The 21135-nt window shown below is 47.7% G+C and overlaps 2 protein-coding genes across 5 annotated transcripts in view; both read left to right on the top strand.

Moving 5' to 3' along the window:
• TGM5 (transglutaminase 5) overlaps positions 1 to 10854 on the top strand; it is a 34339-nt gene extending 23485 nt beyond the window's left edge. For 2 of the 3 annotated variants that reach the window (NM_004245.4, NM_201631.4), the window contains 7 exons: positions 2454 to 2592; positions 4178 to 4281; positions 4388 to 4627; positions 7607 to 7975; positions 8515 to 8675; positions 9757 to 9890; positions 10100 to 10854. In NM_004245.4, the coding sequence (NP_004236.1) occupies positions 2454 to 2592; positions 4178 to 4281; positions 4388 to 4627; positions 7607 to 7975; positions 8515 to 8675; positions 9757 to 9890; positions 10100 to 10253 (1301 nt within the window). In that variant the 3' untranslated portion in view covers positions 10254 to 10854. Of the gene's footprint in view, positions 1 to 2223; positions 2428 to 2453; positions 2593 to 4177; positions 4282 to 4387; positions 4628 to 7606; positions 7976 to 8514; positions 8676 to 9756; positions 9891 to 10099 lie in introns of those variants that run through there. The other variant, XM_011522230.3, reaches the window with a different exon arrangement.
• EPB42 (erythrocyte membrane protein band 4.2) overlaps positions 17707 to 21135 on the top strand; it is a 28511-nt gene continuing 25082 nt past the window's right edge. For both annotated transcript variants that reach the window (XM_011521351.3, XM_011521350.3), the window contains exon 1: positions 17707 to 18058. The gene's annotated coding sequence lies outside the window, so the exon portion shown is untranslated. The remainder of the gene's footprint in view (positions 18059 to 21135) is intronic.

Genomic DNA, 21135 nt, shown 5'->3' with positions numbered 1-21135 from the left:
TGAGACTGGATCAGTGCAAATCCATCACCACTCAAAGCTTATGCTCTACGGACAGTTGAGCTTGGTACCCAAAGCATATCCCACAACCATCAGGATAGTGGTGAGTTGAACTCAGAAATCACCAGAACAGGCAAAAGATTCACAAGACACCACTCATCCATCCATCCAGCAAAGATGCAGCAAGATGCAAAATGGGCCTTGCCCTGTATTGTTAATGGTTGAGTAATGATAAAGATGAATAACACACAATCCCTGCCCTCAGGAAGACAGACTCATAAACAATTCATTACAAGCCTCATACTCTGGTTAATGGAGAACTTCAAAGTGCTTCAGGACCAGTTACCTGTGTTAGGGTGGGAAAGTGCCCATCGAGTCATGTTTAGCAGGAGTTGACACCACTATTGACACTTCAGGTGGCCACTCATGAACTCATCCATCTGGGTGAAGGGCAGGGGGAGGCTTGCTCCCTGCTCTCCCTCCCTGCCCTCTTCTTTGGCACGTTTTCTTGTCACTGTGAGTGTCATCCACCCTCCTGACTGTACTTTTAGCATAAATGCGCCCCTGCAATGCTGCTCTCTTGCCTCACTGCTGTCTCAGGGTCCTTCAGTGACAGCTTTTCAAACTTCAGCCTCACCTCTGCAGCTGTCCTGTGTCACCTCCACCTACAACCCACTTGTCAGCTCTACCCACCACCTGCCCTAGTTCTTCAGCCCTGTTCAAACCTGCCACGCGAGCTCAAGGCTCCCTTTGGGCTTCTCCCCTCCCTTTTCTGGTCGCATCCAGAGGCCTGTCCCCACCCTGGCCTGGAGAGGCTCTGTGTCAAAGTGCAGAATAAGAAGAGGGTGAGCTAAAATCTGTACACAATTAAATGTTTAAACTAAAAATTATAAACTTTTAAGAAATGACAGTAGTGTGTGTGAAGAACCCTTAGAAATAACCATATTTTTGACTCAGTCACTTTACCCCTTAGAATATGTCCCAGGGGAGGGGGGATATTGATCTACAAAGGTATTTATCACAGTATTTACAACAGGGGGAAAATTGAAAACCAACTAAATGTTTCAAAATAATCACCACTAAAATCTTGCTTTCGGCAAATATTCGATAAAATAGGAAAATGCTTAGGATGTAAAATTAGGTAAAAACACTAAGATGCTGAACTGTATGCATACTACCAAAAGCTGGACTCAGTATTGATTGCAAGCTTAGCAGTGAAACCAGGATTTTAGTGGTAGCTCTGCCTCTTACTAGCTGTGTGACCTTGGTCAAGGTAGCAAACTTTCTTAGCCTCTGATTCTTTGTCTTCAAAATGGAGATAATAATAGTAGCCATCAGATAGAGTTGTTTAAGGATACTATGTGTGAAGCATTTAGCACTATGCCCAGCTGGTAGATACTATTATTGTCATTATTAGATTGAGTGGACTGTCATTGCTGGACATGAAGGGACAGGAATCCCCAGAGCATTTCATGGTCAGATTTTCCTGTACTTAAAAGAGCACAGAGGCCGGGCGCGGTGGCTCACGCCTGTAATCCCAGCACTTTGGGAGGCCAAGGCAGGCGGATCACTTGAGGTCAGGAGTTCGAGACCAGCCTGGCCAACATGGTAAAACCCCGTCTCTACTAAAAATACAAAAAAAAAAATTAGCCGGGTGTGGTGTTGTGTGCCTGTAATCCCAGCTACTCAGGGGGCTGAGGCAGGAGAATTGCTTGAACCCGGGAGGAGGAGGAGGCTGGAGTGCGATTTTTTTGACTTCAAAAAAAATAAAAAGCACAGAATGGAAATACAGCAGAGGATAAAGAAAGGAAGTTGGCTGGCAAACAGAATGCATGGCCCCCAGGAATAAAGACAACACTCTACCTTCTTTCAAGAATTTCTCTACCAGGTAGAAACTCTCACTTTTCTAAGCTCTTGTTACATGGTTTTCTTTCCTCTTGGCTTAATCTATGATGCTTTTCTAGAGAGGCTTCCAAGATCATATACCCAGGAAAAGGGGGAATCAAAGCCACAGAATATTTTGCTTGAGAATCTGATGGTCTGAAGCAATAATCCTAACTACAGAAAGGAATGGAATTCCAGCTTTGGCTTGAAGATGGAGATTTAGGGCCAGAAGAGAAATGCAGTTGAGTCAGGCCTCTGAGTTTTGCCAAAGGAAAGGCTTGCCAGTCCCACCCTCCTGGCGTAAGCAGAGCTCACAGCTTGCTAGACTTTACTGGCTCAGGCAGTGCTTGTCTGAGCAGTCAGCATCCCCACCTTTGCCTAGAATCTCTCCCATGAGCTCCAGAAGTGGGGAAGGAAGTTGGAAATATCACTATTCCAGTGTTCCAGACAGCTCCAGCATGTTCCTGCAGATGGCAAATGGAAGATTTCCCCAGGTCCAGGCCCCAAAGTCCAGGAATATACGGGTCCGGAATCTACAGCTCACAGGTGATTTTTTTGTGCCCTTTTTGCAGTGATGAGGTGTCTGGGGATCCCTACCCGTGTGATCACCAACTTCGACTCTGGCCACGATACAGATGGAAACCTGATCATAGATGAGTATTATGACAACACAGGCAGGATTTTGGGGAATAAGAAGAAGGATACTATCTGGTGAGAAACAACCTCTCAACCTATTTCTAGGGCCACACATCAGAGCCAAGCCCCATGGCAGGAGGAAGGGCAGAACGAGGTCCATGAGCCTGGTCCCTCCCCTTCACCTCCTCCACACCCCCTCACCCTCCCCCACCCACCCCCCACCAAGGCTGTCCCCACACCTCTTGCCAATCTTCAGCTGGGAGACATCTGAACAAAGCCCATTTGGGGTTTAGAAGTCTCATATCATAAGAGTGTTCTGCCCTGGGTTGAGGTTTTCATCTTTGTCACCTCCATCACAGAACCTCCTGGCTCTATGGGGCCTGGAGAAAATTTCCCCACTGCCCTTTGAAGGTTTGTTTAAAAAAAAAAAATCAACTCACAAAATCAGATCAATAGGAGAAAAGGCATACACATTAATTAACGTATATACAGGAGCCTTCAGAATGAAGACCCAAAGATACAGGGGAAATTGTCCATTTTTATGCTTAGTCTAACAGAGTATGGACAGCCATGTAGAAATCTGCTTGGACAAATGGTATGACCTAATGGTAATAGACTGAGTGGGGAAACCCAGCCCTGTTTGTCTACATTCTGCTTGGCCTCTCTGAGCATGAGTTCCTTCCTTCCCAATATGGGGCAGAACCCTCTCTAGAATGAGGGTTTTTTGACCTACAGTCAAACAAGGTAGGTCAGATAAATTTTTTATGGCCAGTTTTTATACAAAAAGGCAGAAGGAAAGCTAGGGTAATATTTTTAGGTTTTAAGACTGCCTTTGGGGAAAAGGGGTTCTGGTTTCCATGACCTTCCCACCTTGGGGAGGCGAGATTTTAATTTCTATGCCTAGCCATGGGGGTAAATGAGACTGAGAGACAGGAAGACAGGAAAAGGTCCAAAAAAACACTTCTGCTTCTGAGACCTTCATTTTGGAGTATTGTTTCCTGAGTCCCAACAGTTCTGACCACAGGACGGCCTTACCTCCGAATACAAAGACCACGAGTGCCTCTGTGAGTCATCAACGCACACAAAGGGGCCACAAAGACTGTTTCATGAGACAGTGAAGGATTTTTAACTTCAGTGGACTCTGGAAGCCTTCACTTTCTGTTCACAAGCTGAGTCCGCAGAGGGAGACTCTTTTCTGGGAGGCAAAGAGAGGTCCACAAGAGGAAGACCTGTCACTAATTAATTACTTTTTTGAGACAAGGTCTGGCTTTGCTGCCCAGGCTGGAGCACAGTGGTATGATCAAGGTCAAGCCTTGATCTCCCAGGCTCAAGTGATCCTCCACCTCAGCCTCCCAAGTAGGTGGGACTATAGGCATGTGCCATGATGCCTAGTTAATTTTTTTTTTTTTTTGAGACGAGATCTTCCTTTTTTGCCCAGGTTAATCTTGAACTCCTGAGCTCAAGCAATCCTCTCACCTCAGACTCCCAAAGTACTAAGATTACTGGCATGAGCCATCGTGCCTGGCTATCCACAGAGGTTTTAAGCCCTGTGTGTGCTAAGTCTGTCTTTCTATCCAACAGTTCATTTGCTCATCCCTCCCTTGCCTTGTTCTAGAAAGACCAAGCAGTACAACGTCTCCCTTGGCTCTGTTTGACACAGGAACTTCCATGTCTGGAATGAGTGCTGGATGGCCCGGAAGGATCTGCCCCCTGCATATGGAGGCTGGCAGGTGCTGGACGCCACACCTCAGGAGATGAGCAACGGTGAGGCTCTCCAGAAGAAAGGCAGGCCCCGCTCCCGTGGAAAGCACCCCACCCCTGCCCAGCCCTGCAACAAACAGCCCACCGAGGCTCCCCTGTTCTCCTTCAGGCGTCTACTGCTGTGGCCCTGCCTCTGTCAGAGCCATCAAAGAAGGAGAAGTGGACCTGAACTATGACACGCCCTTTGTGTTTTCGATGGTGAATGCTGACTGCATGTCCTGGCTCGTCCAGGGAGGGAAGGAGCAGAAGCTTCACCAGGACACGAGTTCTGTTGGCAATTTTATCAGCACAAAGAGCATCCAGAGTGACGAGCGGGATGACATCACAGAGAACTACAAGTATGAAGAAGGTAAGTAAGCAAGCCAGCCCTACTCAGAGCCCCAGCCCTGCAGGAACCTTCCCCTACCCCAGGGAGCCAGAGAGCATCTGCGAGGCAGGACCCAGCCCCACTGTCTCCTCAGCTGTTCAGTTTTGAGGCCCCAGTTGGGGTGGCCTCACAGCCTCACTTCTTCATGACACCCCCACCCCACATCCTGCAGGCCAGCGAGCTCCCGCCACAAGGCGCTGACATGGACCGTGGAGCCCAAACAGAATATGAATACTTCACCCCTGCTTCCCCCTAAAATCAGCCTCCCACTGAAGATGGCAGGGAATTTAGTAAACACTCTGCCATTCATTTATTTTATTTAGGGTATTATTTAATTCACTGTGTTTCACTGAGTCTTTGGAGGACAGGCTGAAGTGAGCCCAGATGTTCACTCCCACCACTCCTCCCTGTGGGAACGGCACGGCCAGAGGCTGACTCTGAGGTGACAGCCCTGGCAGCAGGGTCACAGGGGAGGCTGTGTTAGTCAGCTATAGATGAATGCCTGGACATTGAGAAGCGCCAGCCACTAGGTTCAATTACCAGGGAGCCAGGCAAAAATATCCAGTCCATGAGGGCCAGAGGCAGGGTGAGGGCCAGAGCTGGGATCTGGCTGGGGAGGATCTGAGCAGGTGCAAGGCAGGGTGGCTGAAGGGCGGTGGGGAGGGCTGAGCAGTTGCTGGGAGTGCTGGTGAGTGGGTGTCTGTGGTTCGTCTACGTGGGCCTCGGGGACAGACGCAGGGAGGCTCCAGAATTCCCCACCTGGGAAGGGGATTTGCAGTAGGGGGCAAGTGTTGAACACAGCCCAGCAGTGCCATCACCACCCACTCCCTGGGGCCTCCGGCCTCATCTTGGCTGGGCTGCCCCAGAAATGGATCCTGAGGCAAGCATTCAAATACAGGTGGTTTATTTTTTAGGCTATCCTGGAAATCCTGGAGCAGAGTGAGGGAGACAGGGAAGGGAAGGAAGTGGATGTAAGAGTACATTTTCAAGCCTGTTAGCACAGTGACAGCTGGCTGGGAGCTCTGGAAGTGGGGTTGTCAGAGAAAATAAAGGACAAATAATGCTTTAGCATAAATTTGTCCCAGGCCAGGAGCTGTAAGCTCACACCTGCAATCCCAACACTTTGGGAGGCTGAGACGGGAGGATCACTTTAGCCTCAGAATTTGAGGCTGCAGTGAACTATGATGGCAACACTGCACTCCAGCCTAGGCAATAGAGTGAGACCTCATTTCTAAACAAAAAAAAAAAAGGCTGTCCCAAATTATTTGTTGTTTATTTGAAATTCAAATTAAATTGCCTTGTATTTTTGTTTGCTAAATCTGGCAACCCTATCACTGATTCGGTGTGAAGTGTAGAACAATACTGCTGATTTATCACACCAGAGAGTCACAGGGGCTAGGGTGTTTATCCATCAACTCCTGTTGGTCATGAGTTGAGGGCTGTTCCTGGGGGATGTAAATTCTTTAGCACTTCTGGCCTGCCCCATGCATGAGCTGAGTCTGCTCTGGTAGCAGAGAAAACCTCAGACAGAGTTGCAGGGGCTGCAATTTGAAAAGTAGGGCCTGTGGACACTGAAATGGCAAGTGCCAAGGGAATATGGGCAGGGCTTTGATGGCATTTGCTAGAGAGGCCCACGGGGTCCCCTGTGGACTCAGGGGGATTGGAGCCATACCCGAGTGGACCTGAGTGTCCTGCTTAGGTGCTCCTCAGGCCAGCAGTATTCAGTCTTCTCCCACCCAGCCTGACAGGGTCTGGGGTCGCACAGACCGCAGATGCGCTAAATCAGATTCCCATCTTCCTGGGCCCACTCTTTTTTTTTTTTTTTTTTTTGAGACAGAGTCTTGCTCTGTCACCTAGGCTGGAGGGCAACAGCATGATCTCCGCTCACTGCAACCTCTGCTTCCTGGGTTCAAGCAATTCTCCTGTCTCAGCCTCCCAAGTAGCTGGGATTATAGGTGCCTGCCACCATGCCTGGCTAAATTTTTTGTATTTTTAGTAGAAACAGGGTTTCACCATGTTGGTCAGGCTGGTCTCGAACTCCAGACCTCAAGTAATCCACCCTCCTTGGCCTCCCAAAGTGGTGGGATTACAGGTGTGAGCCACTGCCCTCAGCCTGTGGGCCCACTCTTACTGAAGCAAATGTCTCCAGATTCTCTTTTGTCTGGAACTGGCCTTAGAATGAACCCCAGAGCAAGGGGATAAAAGTGGCCTCTGCCTCAGGAAGTTGTGGCAAATGCATTGAAGGGGTAGAGCTGGTCCCTGGGGATAGTAAGTACTCAACAAAAGCAGCTTCTGGAATTATGAGGCGTGGGCAAGTATTCCTGCACATGCGGCCCACAGGGACCCCCAGGATAGAGCAGGGAAGCTGGGGCCACCCTGGGAACTCTGCACGCCTAGACCTCCTCTCATATGTATTTACTTATTTACTGTGCTTCTCCTTTCCCTTAGTTTCCAGGAATTAGTCTATGCCTGACCAATAATCTGGCTCTGGAACAGGACATCACACCATGCCCTGCTGTCTTTATGAGGTTTATTTCTCTGCATTTGTGGGCCTTCATCTTTCCCTTGAGGAGATCAGGATAGAGTTGAGCGGTCACAGGCACGGGTTTTAGAGTTGGGCAGGTTTGCTTCCCACCTGGGATCTGCTCCTTACTAGTTGTGTGACTTGGGCAGGTGACATGACTTCCATTAGCCTCCTTTTCTTTATCTGTGTATGGAAGAAGAAGAAGAAGAAGAATGCTAATGGTAATACACCTTGCTTGTGGTTGATACAGGAGGAAGGGTGTGAAGTGGCCAGCAGAGCCTGCCTGGGAAAGCACATGAGGAGTGGAGGGAGTGCTTGTTACTGGGAGTGAAGGCCTGAAGTTGTTGGTGGAGATATTGGGTGGGGGATGGCGCTCAGCCTCAGTCTACCCCGGTCAGCCTGGCTCACAGCTGGTGCTGTGCTCTCCCCAACTTCAGGATCCCTCCAGGAGAGGCAGGTGTTTCTGAAGGCTCTGCAGAAGCTGAAGGCTAGAAGCTTCCATGGCTCCCAAAGAGGAGCAGAGTTGCAACCTTCCAGGCCCACATCACTGAGCCAGGACAGCCCTCGGAGCCTGCATACACCTTCCCTTCGACCCAGTGATGTGGTGCAAGTCTCCCTGAAATTCAAGCTGCTCGACCCGCCCAACATGGGCCAGGATATATGCTTTGTCCTGCTGGCCCTCAACATGTCCTCCCAGTTCAAGGACCTCAAAGTGAACCTGAGTGCCCAGTCTCTGCTGCACGATGGCAGCCCCCTGTCCCCATTCTGGCAGGACACAGCGTTCATCACACTCTCTCCTAAAGAAGGTACGCATGTGCACAGTTTGTGTACGCAGAGTTGGTTTTGGCAATGTCAGTGGGGTCAAGCCAGCCAACAGGGTTCTGGGGGCAGACCCCTGAGACACCATCATTTCTACTGTCCCCTCTGGCACGATTCCCCTCCTTCCCTCTTCTCCTTCCCCCTTCCTTCCTTCCTTCCTTCCCTCCCTCCCTCCTTCCCTCCCTCCCTCTCTTCCTTCCTTCGTTGTATCTCCTCTCTCCCTCCTTTCTCTTCCTCCTCCTTTCCTACCACAACAAAAGTAGCTGGTTTTGCAGAAAAAGCCTGAGATTTGGAGTCTCTGAGACCTTCGTTGGAGCCTCAGCTCTCCCATTTCCTAGCAGAATGGCCTTGGGCAGCCATTTTGGCTCTTTTCAGCTCATTTCCTCATCTAAAAAGCTGCCACCTGCTTCCCTGGGATTTGGTACTTGTTGACTTTCTCTTCTCTGTGGAAGAGAGACCCAGGTCCAACCCAGGTACGGCTGATTTTCTCAGCTACTCTCACCCCATCCTTGTGTTCTTTCTTTAGCAAAGACCTACCCCTGCAAAATCTCCTATTCCCAGTACAGCCAGTACCTGTCAACAGACAAGCTGATCCGCATCAGTGCCCTGGGTGAAGAGAAAAGCAGTCCTGAGAAAATCCTGGTGAACAAGATCATCACCTTATCTTATCCAAGCATCACGATTAATGTAGGCAGGAGTCCTGCAAATGGCTTGTGGGGCTCCTTGGATCTGGCGGGGAGGGGGTGAAGCCCTGTGAGAGGGCAGCCTGGGCCTGCTTAGGAGAGCATCCCCTCCTTCCTTTGCCTCTTCTGGTGCTCCAGGAGGGAGAAGTTTGTCTGAGAGATCTTCATCCTCTTGCACCACTCACTAGAGGCCCTATGGATGGGTCCTTGAGCAGGTGCCATGGACAATAGGAGAGACCCCCCTCTTGTGCCCCTCCTGCTGTTGGCCTTCCCCATGGGTCAACATAAGGAAAGTGAGCACAGATGGGAGGGTCTCTGGTCGGGGGAGAGCCCTGTCTGAAAGTCAGTTCAGACTTGATTTGCCATTTTTTGGCTGTGTATCCTTGGACAGGGCCTTGGGCCTCTGTTTCTTGAACTGTTAGAGAGGGGATTAGGCTAGATGGCCTCTGAGGACCCCGCCTGCTCTGACATTCTGCGGTCTTCCAAGTGGGAAGATTTTAAGGTCTCCCTTCCTTCCCGTGCTGTCTCCCCAAAGTCAACCAGCCTCCTAGACCCTGTTAAGTAAGCCCATGGAGCCCCTTCCGGTGGGGAAACATGAAGGTTTGGCTAGAACTTGGGCTTTTGTGGCATCTTAGCAAAGAAGCAATATGTTTTTAGAGAAGTGACAAGAGAAAAGGAAAGGACCTTGAGTCTCAAGGGGTGGCAAATTTTGGGAAGGCAAATACATGGGAAACTCATGGTAGATAAAACTTAGAAAGTTTGTTGTGTAGATTCCTCTGGTGCCCTCTCCAGGCTCGTAAAGGTCTGAAGGCATCTCTGGTGATCAGCCTTTGTCCTTCCTGGTAGAGAGGGGAGGGGGGACACCTTTGTAAATTTATGTCCTGCTTTTAGGCAAATAAAGGGAAACTAGAGAGCTTTTCTTATATCTGCTTCTTCTCAATTGTCTTCGGCTCAAAGAATTCTTATGCCAAAGTGGCATATTTGGAGGTGGCATATCCTGCCACCTTACAGAATGGTGCCCTTCGTAAATATCTGGTGAGTTGGGGAATGAGAACTAATTCTCCTTCCCCTCCTGGTCTGTTTAGGTTCTAGGAGCAGCCGTTGTGAACCAGCCACTCTCCATACAGGTGATATTTTCAAACCCCCTCTCGGAGCAGGTTGAGGACTGTGTGCTGACTGTGGAAGGAAGTGGCCTCTTCAAGAAACAGCAGAAAGTCTTGTAAGTGCTGCAAGTGCTCAGCCTTCTCCTGTTTTTCCCCCCTGAGATTAGCACTATCCTTCCTGAACATGGGTTCCTGAGCCAGACTCCACAACACCGGGGAAGGGAAAGTGGAAGCACTCCCTCCCACTCAGGAAGCTGGGTGGAAAAGGGCTCCAGGGTCATTATCATGCTTTTGGTTTTCTGACATGCTCCATTCTCTGTTGCAGCCTTGGAGTCCTCAAACCCCAACACCAAGCAAGCATCATTCTGGAGACCGTCCCCTTCAAGAGTGGACAAAGGCAGATCCAAGCTAATATGAGAAGCAACAAGTTTAAGGACATTAAGGGTTACAGGAATGTTTATGTAGACTTTGCATTATAAATTCTGGAACAACGCGCCAGACGTGTGAATTTCAAGCTTCAGGAAAAGGAGCAAGTTCAAATGCAAGCTGCGCCATTCCCCACCACAACAGAGGCTTCACAGGGCTCCAGCAAGAGCCACAGAGGGGATGACGTGTTCATTTTCTGTCTCTCCTGACTCCACTAGAAATTTAAGCTCCATGAGGGCAAAGACTTTGCTTTGTTTACTACCCCTATACTCAGAACCATTTCTGGCATATGCTAGGCACTCAACAAATATTTTTTGAATGAATGAATAGGAGACTCCAGCATCCAGAGAACAGGTAGGAAATGTCTATGGATGGATATTTCCCTGGACCATTTGCACAGCTCCCCTGGACTCTTTTCAGGGCCCAGGGATTCCACTGTGTCCCATCCAGAGATTCCAGGATTCCAGTCTCCTATCCAGAAGCGTGATTTGGCACAGAGGTCAGAGGATACTGGTAGGACTTGGCCATGACTTAACTGCCCCCTGCCCCAGATATCCAGGAAAGAAAAAGACAGGCTGAACAGCTCACTGTTGTTTTGTTGTTGCGAAAGCTAATTCCCTAGTATGAATAAACTTCAGACCTTGCTCTCCTTTGCCTCATGTAGTCATCACTTTCCTATCTGTTCCTTGGATGCTGCAGTCTCCATTCATTCAAAAAAGTATTTATTGAGTGCCTAGCATATGCCAGAAGTGGTTCTGAGTGTAGGGGTACAAAGTAAACAAAGCAAAGTCCCTGCCCTCATGGAGCTTACATTTCTAGTGGAGGCAGGGGACATAGACAATGAACACGTCCACAAATAAGTGAGATACTCACAGGTGGTGTATCAGCCATGATCCAGCTAGAAAAAACAAAAACTCACAGGTGTTTCTACTTACTACCTACCATCTTTGTGTCTTGGGGGGAAAAAAAAGTCTGGGAGACCTTTCACCCTTGGCCTTCCTTTGAATCCTTTCCCATATGACATCTAAGAGGTCCCTCAGTCCTAACAGTACCAGCCTATTCACTCAAAACTCACTGACGCACTGTGGTCCTGGATGGCCTTGGGTTGGCTGGGGAGATAAAGCTGGCTGAATAACACAATGAGGTAGACTTTGAGTGGGAAATGGAATACTCTCAGAGTTTTCTATTAGTTGCAGCCTGTGTTTATGGTCATGCAAACTCCACGCTTTCTGGGTCCTACTGAACACAAAAAAATTCTGATCATTATCTCCTCTTGTGGCACTGCACAAAGTTCTGCACAAAGAAAGGCATGATGCACTTGCTCTCTCAGTACTGACTATATGACTGAGACAGCTGTCCTATCAAATACACACACAGTAAATAAAGAAGATGAAGACTTCCAGGCCGGGCGCGGTGGCTCACGCCTGTAATCCCAGCACTTTGGGAGGCCGAGGCGGGCGGATCACGAGGTCAGGAGATCGAGACCATCCCAGCTAAAACGGTGAAACCCCGTCTCTACTAAAAATACAAAAAATTAGCCGGGCGTAGTGGCGGGCGCCTGTAGTCCCAGCTACTTGGGAGGCTGAGGCAGGAGAATGGCGTGAACCCGGGAGGCGGAGCTTGCAGTGAGCCGAGATCCCGCCACTGCACTCCAGCCTGGGCGACAGAGCGAGACTCCGTCTCAAAAAAAAAAAAAAAAAAAAGACTTCCAGTATGTATAAACCAAAGGTATGTGTAGTTAATCAGTGGGATAGAAGGGCATGTGGCAAGAATTAGGGAAAGTAGGGAAATAGTCCTGTGAGAGAGTGGGCTGAGAACCAGGAGCTACTGGCAGGGAGCTGGAAGTAACTTAAAATTATTTCATCTTATAATTATTACCTGACAATCATGAGAAATAGTTTAAGGAAAACACCAGAGAGAGAAACATCTTATAGACACAATGACCTCTGAAGCACATGGAAGATTTCAGGAACTGCACCCTAGGACTCTTTAATGAGTCCTGATTTTAACACCACATTCATTAATTCTTTGATTCAACAAAAATTTACTGAGTTTCTACTAGGGGCCAGGCCCTGAGCCAGGTAGGCCCTAAGGACACAAGAAGGACCAGGGCCTGCACTCAAGGAGCTCAAGTCTAAGGATGTGGAGAATGAAAAATAAACAGGAGGTTATAACACAGAGTGGTGAGATCCACCACTGGGGTAAACCAGGGTGTTGTGGGAGCACAAGGAGGGCCAGCTAGTCCAGCCTTGGGATATTGGTTCAAGGAAGGCTTCCTGGAGGAAGTGGTATTTAAGTGGAGCCCTAAAAGCTAGTGGTTGGTCAAAGACTAGGAATTGGAAGGAGAGGGAGTGGAATAAAGCAGCCAGGAACTGCAAGTCATTCAGATGGCCAGAGGTCAGAATGGGAGGGAGCAAGAAGCAGGAAAGAAATGAGGCAAGAGCCAGGGGGTGAAGAGCTTCAGGCCGCAGTCTAAGGAATTTGGGTCACAATCATCTTCAGGCATCTGCCTCCTCTAAGTCTTGGATCACAATCACTTCCTGCAGTGTCAGTGCTCAGGGCCGATTCCACTTTGCAGAGCTGAGCAGACTTCATGTGACTTAAGAAGCACTTAAAGGACAAATAGTTCTCCACCCTTGTCTGCCATAGGAGCTTGCAATTCCCATCAGAGTCACTTCTTTGAGCGCAAAGGCCTTCCTTAAATGCAAAGGTTGTCTTTCATCCGTTCGTTTAACATTTTTTGAGTTCCTAATGTGCTGAGTGTTCTAGGTGTAGGGAATAGACCAATAAACACGGCAAATAAGGTTCTCCCCAACCCATTCCCAATGGACAACCTCACAGCCCCTCATCCCCCAACCCCAGTGGAACTCAGTATAATTTTCTTCTGACAACGCTCAGCTCAGCTCCAGGCAAAAAGGGTTTTTGAAGAAATTTCTTTTTCCTTATTGTGTGTAGCCTTGGTCGATCTGCCAGTGAAGAAGCCCTGCCCGCCCATGGCCAAGAGGTGGGCATGTGACTTATGCTGGGACAATCAGACACTTCTCCCAGGACTTTGACTGCAGAGTGAAGTGGGTTAGAAAAGGGAGAAACTTGGAGTCCATCCATCTTGGCAGCAGAGACCCAGAGACAGACCAGCCTCTGTTCCTGCTGCCTAGTCACTCGAGCTGCCCTGGAGTCCATCCTTCTCCTAGTCCTGGCTCTCCTTTTCCCCATCAATCTACGAGCTCCTTCATACTCTTGTTTTTTTAAGTTGACCAACACTAGTTTTGGCTTTGCTTGCATTCAAAGGACAATCATGAGACAAAAGGACTTTATCTAGTTCAGAGAAATTGGGTAATTTGTTTAAGACCACACAGCAAAGTCTGTCTGATTCCAAATTCCCCCCATGTCACACTGCCCAGTACTCCCATAGGTCTGCCCTTGGGTCCTAAAGGTGTCTTTGTTAGTGTCATAAGTTAGCCTGAAGTTCAAGGAAGTGTCAGAAGCTCTCATTCACCCCAACCTGGTGAATAACTGGAGAGCTGGGAGCTGGCTGTGTGGAAAGGGCAGGCAGCAACAAGAGCTACACTTTGTTTCCCAGAGCTCGCTCCTCCTTTAGTCCCTGGCCCTCCAAGGCCCACTGTTCAGTTTTTCTTCCCCACCACTTGCCCACTGACCAGCAGCCAACCAACCAATGAGCAGCTGGTACCACTTCTCTACCTGTCCCTGAGACCTGACTTCCCAGTATCCAGGAGCCACTTGGTGCCAGTTTTGGGGCTGCTGCTTTTTCAGGAGTACAGACAAAAAGAATTTGATTGCAGAGTGCTGATCTCAGATATACCCAGCTTTCCTCCAACCCCAGAGGATAGGCTTGGCTTCAGACTCCATGAGAGCCTGGAGCTTCCTGAGGGGAGGCAGGCCACGTGCCTGGTATAGCAAGTGTTAGCAGAAGGTCTGAGCTGGGATGCTGAATGAATCTGTGGGAATGTGAGAAAGAACTCTGTGAACATAGATAATGTTAGGCTCTGGATAATGCTAATATCCTCCAGAGAATGTTCTTTCTGGTAGGAAGTTAGGATAGTGGGAGAGTGCCATAATGGAGATTTATTTAAAACCAGGCTTCAGCTTTTTTTTTTTTTTGAAGCAGAGTTTCGCTCTTGCTGCCCAGGCTGGAATGCAATGGCACGATCTCCAGCTCACTGCAACCTCTGCCTCCCGGGTTCAAGCCATTCTCCTGCCTCAGCCTCCCAAGTAGCTGGGATTACAGGCATGTGCCACCACACCCGGCTAATTTTGTTTTTTGTTGTTGTTGTTGTTGTTTTTTGTTTGTTTGTTTTCCATAGAGACAGGGTTTCCCCATGTTGGTCAGGTTTCCCAACCTCAGGTGATCTACCCACCTCAGCCTCCCAAAGTACTGGGATTACAGGTGTGAGCCACCGCGCCCAGCCAACTTCAGCCTTTTATAAGGATTAGTCTATTTCCTACTTAACTCAACTCCTGGGGCATAGCCCTTCTGCAGTCCCAACAGAAAGCCTGGGGTGTTTATTGGGGCCCCTCATCCTTAATGACCCTCAAACTCAAACCCTGCTAGACTGCCAGATTCTCAGGCTCTTATCTGCCAACTATGAATGGGCAAATGCCCCAGATAGAAGAGTGGCAGCCAGTTTCAAGTTCACTCTCTGCTCTTCTCCCCCAAGATCTTGATCCCTCAAGTCCTCACTGCCTTGATGCCTTCAAAGAGATATTTAAAATATTTCATTCAACTTTTCTAATTGTTCCCAACAGAGAGGATGGTAACAAGCTAGTCTGCTGTATTTAGATACAGAAATTCTTGAAAGATTTTAAAAGAAGGTTGAATAGAGAGACCTTCTCAGTGGTGGCTAGGATTAAGGCTAATGTGAAATCACATATGTGGGGTATGAGTTGGAAGACCTCAGTTTGAGTCTAGGCTTTACCATAAGCTGTGAGATATTGGGAAACCTTCCCTTCTGGAGCTTAGAGGTAAGTTTCTCGTATGTGGAACACATGTGGATAGGTAGGCTATAGTATGCACTTTTAGCCTCCTCCTTGGCTCTGTTTGGGTTCCATCTTTATTCTTTCATCATTTGCATCATTGTAATGTGCTCTTCTGCAATACCATATTTCACTGTTAGTCTTAAATTCTTTCTGGAATGAGGCAGTATATTAATTGATCTTACATTCGCTAAAATAAATGTTAACTCTCTGAACGTATTTTCTCATCAGTAAAATTGGAATCATGATCCCTTAATGCAGTTTACAAGATTGAGGTTCAGATCATACAAGATAATGTACGCGAAAGTGCTTTGTAAAGCAATGTGCCAGCATAATTAACTTATTTGCACCTGGGAGTCATGTTGAGTATCTTTTCCTCTCTGCCCTCCACCCTGATATCCTGTCCATTAGCACGTCATATCCATTTAACCTCCTACATCTCCGTCAAATCTGTCCATGTCTTTTTTTTTTTTTTTTTTTTTGAGATGGAGTCTTGCTCTGTGGCCCAGGCTGGAGTGCAGTGGCATGATCTTGGCTTACTGCAACCTCCACCTTCTAGGTTCAAACGATTCTCCTGCCTCGGTATCCCGAGTAGCTGCGATTACAGGCGCCCGCCACCACGCCCAGCTAATTTTTGTATTTTTAGTAGAGACGGGGTTTCGCCATGTTGGCCAGGCTGGTCTCAAACTCCTGACCTCAGGTGATCCGCCTGTCTTGGCCTCCCAAAGTGCTGGGATTACAGGCGTGAGCCACCGTGACCGGCCTATGTCTATCTTTACTAACACCCCCCGGAGTAGACCACCATCATCTTTCACGTGGGCCATTACCCTAGTCTCTTATTGGTCATCTCTCTTCCCTTTTTGCCCCCTCTAAATCATTTCCCCCATATTAGCCAGTATTTTAAAAATACAAATCTGATTGTGTTACTCCCTTGCTTCAAATATCATTTCAATGGCTTCTCACTGCTCTGAGAATAAAATCCAAAATTCGCAGCTCAACTCTGCAAGATTTAGCCCTTGCCTTACCTCTCCCCATCTCTCTCTGTGATGCAGACCCACTGACCTGCTTTCAGATGCCTCCTGCCTTAGCGCCTGTGCACGTGCTGTTTTCTCTCCTCTCACGCCAACCCTTGTCCTGTTGAGAGGTGACAGCTTGCTGGCAGCCCTGGCAGCCCTCGCTCGCTCTCGGTGCCTCCTCGTTCTCGGCGCCCATTCTGGCCGCGCTTGAGGAGCCCTTCAGCTCGCCGCTGCACTGTGGGAGCCTTTCTCTGGGCTGGTCCAGGCCGGAGCCGGCTCCCTCAGCTTGCGGGGAGGTGTGGAGGGAGAGGCACGGGCGGGAACCGGGGCTGCGCGCGGCGCTTGCGGGCCAGCTAGAGTTCCCGGTGGGCGTGGGTTTGGCGGGCCCGTACTCGGAGCGGCTGGCCAGCCCTGCCGGCCCGGGCAGTGAGGGGCTTAGCACCCGGGCCAGCAGCTGCGGAGCGTGCGCCGGGTCCCTCAGCACTGCCGGCCTACCGGTGCTGCTCTCGATTCCTCCCGGGCCTTAGCTGCCTCCCCGCAGGGCAGGGCTCGGGACCTGCAGCCCGCCATGCCTGAGCCTCCCCAAGGAGCGCCGCCCTCTGCTCCACGGCGCCCGGTCCCATCGACCGCCAAAGGGCTGAGGAAAGCGGGCCCACAGCGCAGGACAGGCAGGCAGCTCCACCTGCGGCCCCAGTGCGGGATCCACTGGGTGAAGCCAGCTGCGCTCCTGAGTCTGGTGGGGACTTGGAGAACCTTTATGTCTAGCTCATGGTTTGTAAATACACCAATCAACACTCTGTATCTAGCTAATCTAGTGGGTACCTGGAGAACTTTTGTGTCCAGCTCAGGGATTGTAAACGCACCAATCAGCACCCTGTCAAAACGGACCAATCAGCTCTCTGTAAAACAGACCAATCGGCTCTCTGTAAAATGGACAAATCAGCAGGATGTGGGTGGGGCCAGATAAGAGAATAAAAGCAGGCTGCCCTAGACAGCAGTGGCAACCCCTTCGGGTCTGCTTCTGTGTTGTGGAAGCTTTGTTCTTTACCTCTTTGCAGTAACTCTTGCTTCTGCTCACTGTTTGGGTCCACACTGCCTTTATGAGCTGTAACACTCACCGCGAAGGTGTACAGCTTCACTGCTGAAGCCCCCGAAACCACGAACCCACCAGGAAGAACGAATAACTCCAGACGCGCCCCCTTAAGAGCTGTAACACTCACCGCGAAGGTCTGCAGCTTCACTCCTGAGCCAGCGAGACCACGAACCCACCAGAAGGAACAAACTCCGAACACATCAGAACATGAGAAGGAACAAACTCCGGACACGCGGCCTTTAAGAACTGTAACACTCACTGCGAGGGTCGGCGGCTTCATTCTTGAAGTCAGTGAGACCAAGTACCCACCAATTCCGGACACACTATTAGCTAGCTAACTCCTATTTATCCTCCCTTAAATATCACCTTCTGAGAGAAGCCTACCCTGACCGTCCACACCTGGGTCCAAGAGCACTCAAACTTCTTTTTTACAGCATTTGGCACACTTGACAGAGAAATAGCTAATGGTGTACGCACTTAGTATTGTTTGTCTCCCCCTGCTGGAATAGAAGCTCCTTGGTGGCAGAGACGCGTCTATAGAGCTTTACTGCTGTACCACCAGTATCTAACGCGGTTCCTAACAGTTCCTAACGGTACCTCAGAAAGTGCCCCGACTGAAATACTGCCAGAGACTGGATCTCTGTGAAGCTCTCATGGGAACTGTACCGGGAAAGAGAAGATTCTCTTTGCTAGAACCAGAAGGAGAACACATTCCCCAAAGGGAGACCAGCCCACAACCTCCCCATTGCTCTCCTAGGTAAGGGGCCCTCTGTGGTGAAAATAGTTCTTTCAGCCAGACTTTTCTTTCCCCTAAAAGTTTTTGTTACTTTAAAAATATTAACACATAAATACAAGTTCATGGCACAAAGATACAAAGGGTATATAGAAAAAAGCCTTGTGCCTAGGCACTGATGTCTCTATCTAGAAGCAATAATTTTCTAGAAATAGTCTATATAAACACAAGCAAATTCATATATATTCTCCCCACGCACACATACCCTTTACACAAAGATAGTATACTATTCACATTGTTCTCTACCTTGCTTATTCCACTTAACAATACAGCTTGGACTGGGCGCGGTGGCTCATGCCTGTGATCCCAACACTTTGGGAGGCCAAGGCTGGGGGATCACTTGAGCACCGGAGTTCAAGACCAGCCTGGGAAACATAGTGGGACCCCATCTCTACAAAAAATAAAAATTAGCCAGATGTAGTGGCACATGCCTGTAGTCCCAGCTACTCTGGAGGCTGAAGTGGGAGGATCACTTGAGCCCAGGGGTTGAGGCTGCAGTGAGCCATGATTGCACCACTGCACTCCAGCCTGGGTGACAGAGCAAGACCCTGTCTCAAAACAAATAAACAAACATACAAATCAAGCTTGGAGATTGTTCCACATCCTTTTATATAGAGCTACTTCATTCTTTTTCACCTTTATGTATTTTATTGAATGCATGTTCCATAATTTATCTACCTAATACCTTATGCATGGATGTTTAGGTAGTTTCTAGTATTTGGCTATTATAAATATCAATGCCTTGAATATACTTGTATAAATTTCATTTTACACCTGTTTGATCATTTGTATGATAAATACCTAGAAGTAGAATGGCTGAATCAAAAGTATAGACTTTTTTTTTTTTAAGTGAGAGCAAGTTTATTAAGAAAGTAAAGGAATAAAGAATGGCTAATCCATAGGCAGAGCAGCAAAAAGTATAGACATTTAAAGTTTTGGTAGAAACCACTTAATTTCCCTTTGTTCTGGACTGAATTGTGTCCTCCCCAAAAATTCATATGTTGAAGCCCTAACCCCCAATGTGACTGTATTTGGAGATGGGACCTATAAGAAGGTAATAAAGGTGAAGTGGGGTCATAAGAATGGGCTTCAATCCAATAGGAATGATGTCCTTATAAGAAGACGAAAAGGAAAAGACACCAGAGATCTTTCTCTTTCCGCGTGGACACAGGGAAGAGGGCATGTGAGGAAGAGAGCCTTCACCAGACACCAAGCCTAAAGGCCCTGATCTTGAACTTCCATCCTACAGAAGGGTGAAAACATAAATATCTGTTGTTTAAGCCACCCAGTCTGACTAACACTCTCCGTAGAGGCTGCACAAATTTGGAGAGGCTGCACCAATTATTTATTAATTAATTTATTTATTTCTATTTTTTTGAGACAATGTCTTGCTCTGTTGTCAAGGCTGGAATACAGTGGCATGATCTTGGCTAACTGCAACCTCCACCCACCAGGTCAAGCGATTTTCATGTCTCAGTCTCCTGAGTAGCTGAGATTACAGGCACCCACCACCATGTCTGGCTAATTATTGTATTTTTAGTAGAGATTGGTTTTCACCATCTTGGCCTGGCTGGTTTCGAACTCCTGACCTCAAGTGATTCACCTGCCTCCCAAAGTGCTGGGATTACAGGCATGAGCCACCGCGCCCAGCCGAGGCTGCACCAATTTAAATTTGCACTCCCACTAGTATTATAAGAGAGCAACTATTTTCCTAAAACATCACCAACTCAAAATGTTGTCAAACTCTTTTATCTTTGCCAATCTAATAGGTGAAGAAAGAATGATATCTCAGGGTGTTTTTATTTTGCATTTTTATTAAATGAGGCTGAACATCTTTCCATGGAATTGATAGACATTTTTATTTCCTTTTCTGTGAATTGTCTATCATATCCTTTACTCATTTTTCTAATAGTTTGTTATTCTTTTCTTATTGATTTATAGGCATCTTTTATATTAAGGAGATTAATCCTTCGTGATATGAGTTTCAAATATTTTACCCAACTTGTTGCATATCTTGTTTTGTTTTGTTTTTGAGACGGATTCTCACTCTGTGGCCCAGGCTGGAGCACAGTGGCCCAGTTTCAGCTCACCGCAACCTCCAACCTCCCGGGTTCAAGCTATTCTCCTGCCTCAGCCTCCCAAGTAGCTGGGATTACAGGCACATGCCACCACGCTCAGCTAATTTTTTGTATTTTTAGTAGACATGGGGTTTCACCAAGTTGGCCAGGCTGGTCTCAAACTCCTGACCTCGTGATCCACCCGCCTCGGCCTCCCAAAGTTCTGGGATTACAGGTGTGAGCCACCGTGCCCCATCTGCATATCTTTTAACATTGTGAATATTTCCATTTAAAAATTTTTAAGGAATCAAATTTCTCAGTATTTTCTTTTTGTCTTCTGAGTTTTGCATAATATTTTTAAAGGTTTTCCCAAGTTAACTTAAGAAGAAGTGTCTCATTTTTTCTTCTATTACTTTAAGAATTTAATAAGAGTTTTGATCCATCTGAAATTTATTTTGATGTGTGGCATAAGATAGGAAGCCAACTGTATTTTGACAAGCTAGTTGTCCCAAAATCATTTACTGATAAATCCTTCATTTCCCCATGGATTTGAAGTGCCACATTTAGCATACATTTAATACATGTATTTTGATCTATGGACTTTTCAATTACAGTAATATCATATTATGTGTTCATATCTAGGAAGGCTGGTCACACTTTATTATTATCTTAGAAATTTCCTTTTGAACCTTAGAATCAGTTTACCTAGTTTCAAAAAACAATCTTGGTGTTTTTATTGGGAATGAATTAAACTTAAGATCAACTTGGGAAGAAATGACCGCTTTATAAAGTTGAGTTGTCCTACACAGGATGGTGATCTTCCTTTTTATCTGCTCAAGTCTTATTTGGTGTCCCTCCATACCGTTTCCAAGTGTTTTACTGACAGCACTTCACATTTCTTAAGTTTATTTCTAGAAATTTCACCTTTTGTTGTTGTTGCTATTATAGGTTGGGTCTTTAATTACAGTTTCTGACTTGTTATTG

The sequence above is a fragment of the Homo sapiens genome, chromosome 15, assembly GCF_000001405.40.
Source record: "Homo sapiens chromosome 15, GRCh38.p14 Primary Assembly".
Classification (NCBI taxonomy): domain Eukaryota; kingdom Metazoa; phylum Chordata; class Mammalia; order Primates; family Hominidae; genus Homo; species Homo sapiens.
This window is presented reverse-complemented; position numbering and strand designations above follow the sequence as displayed.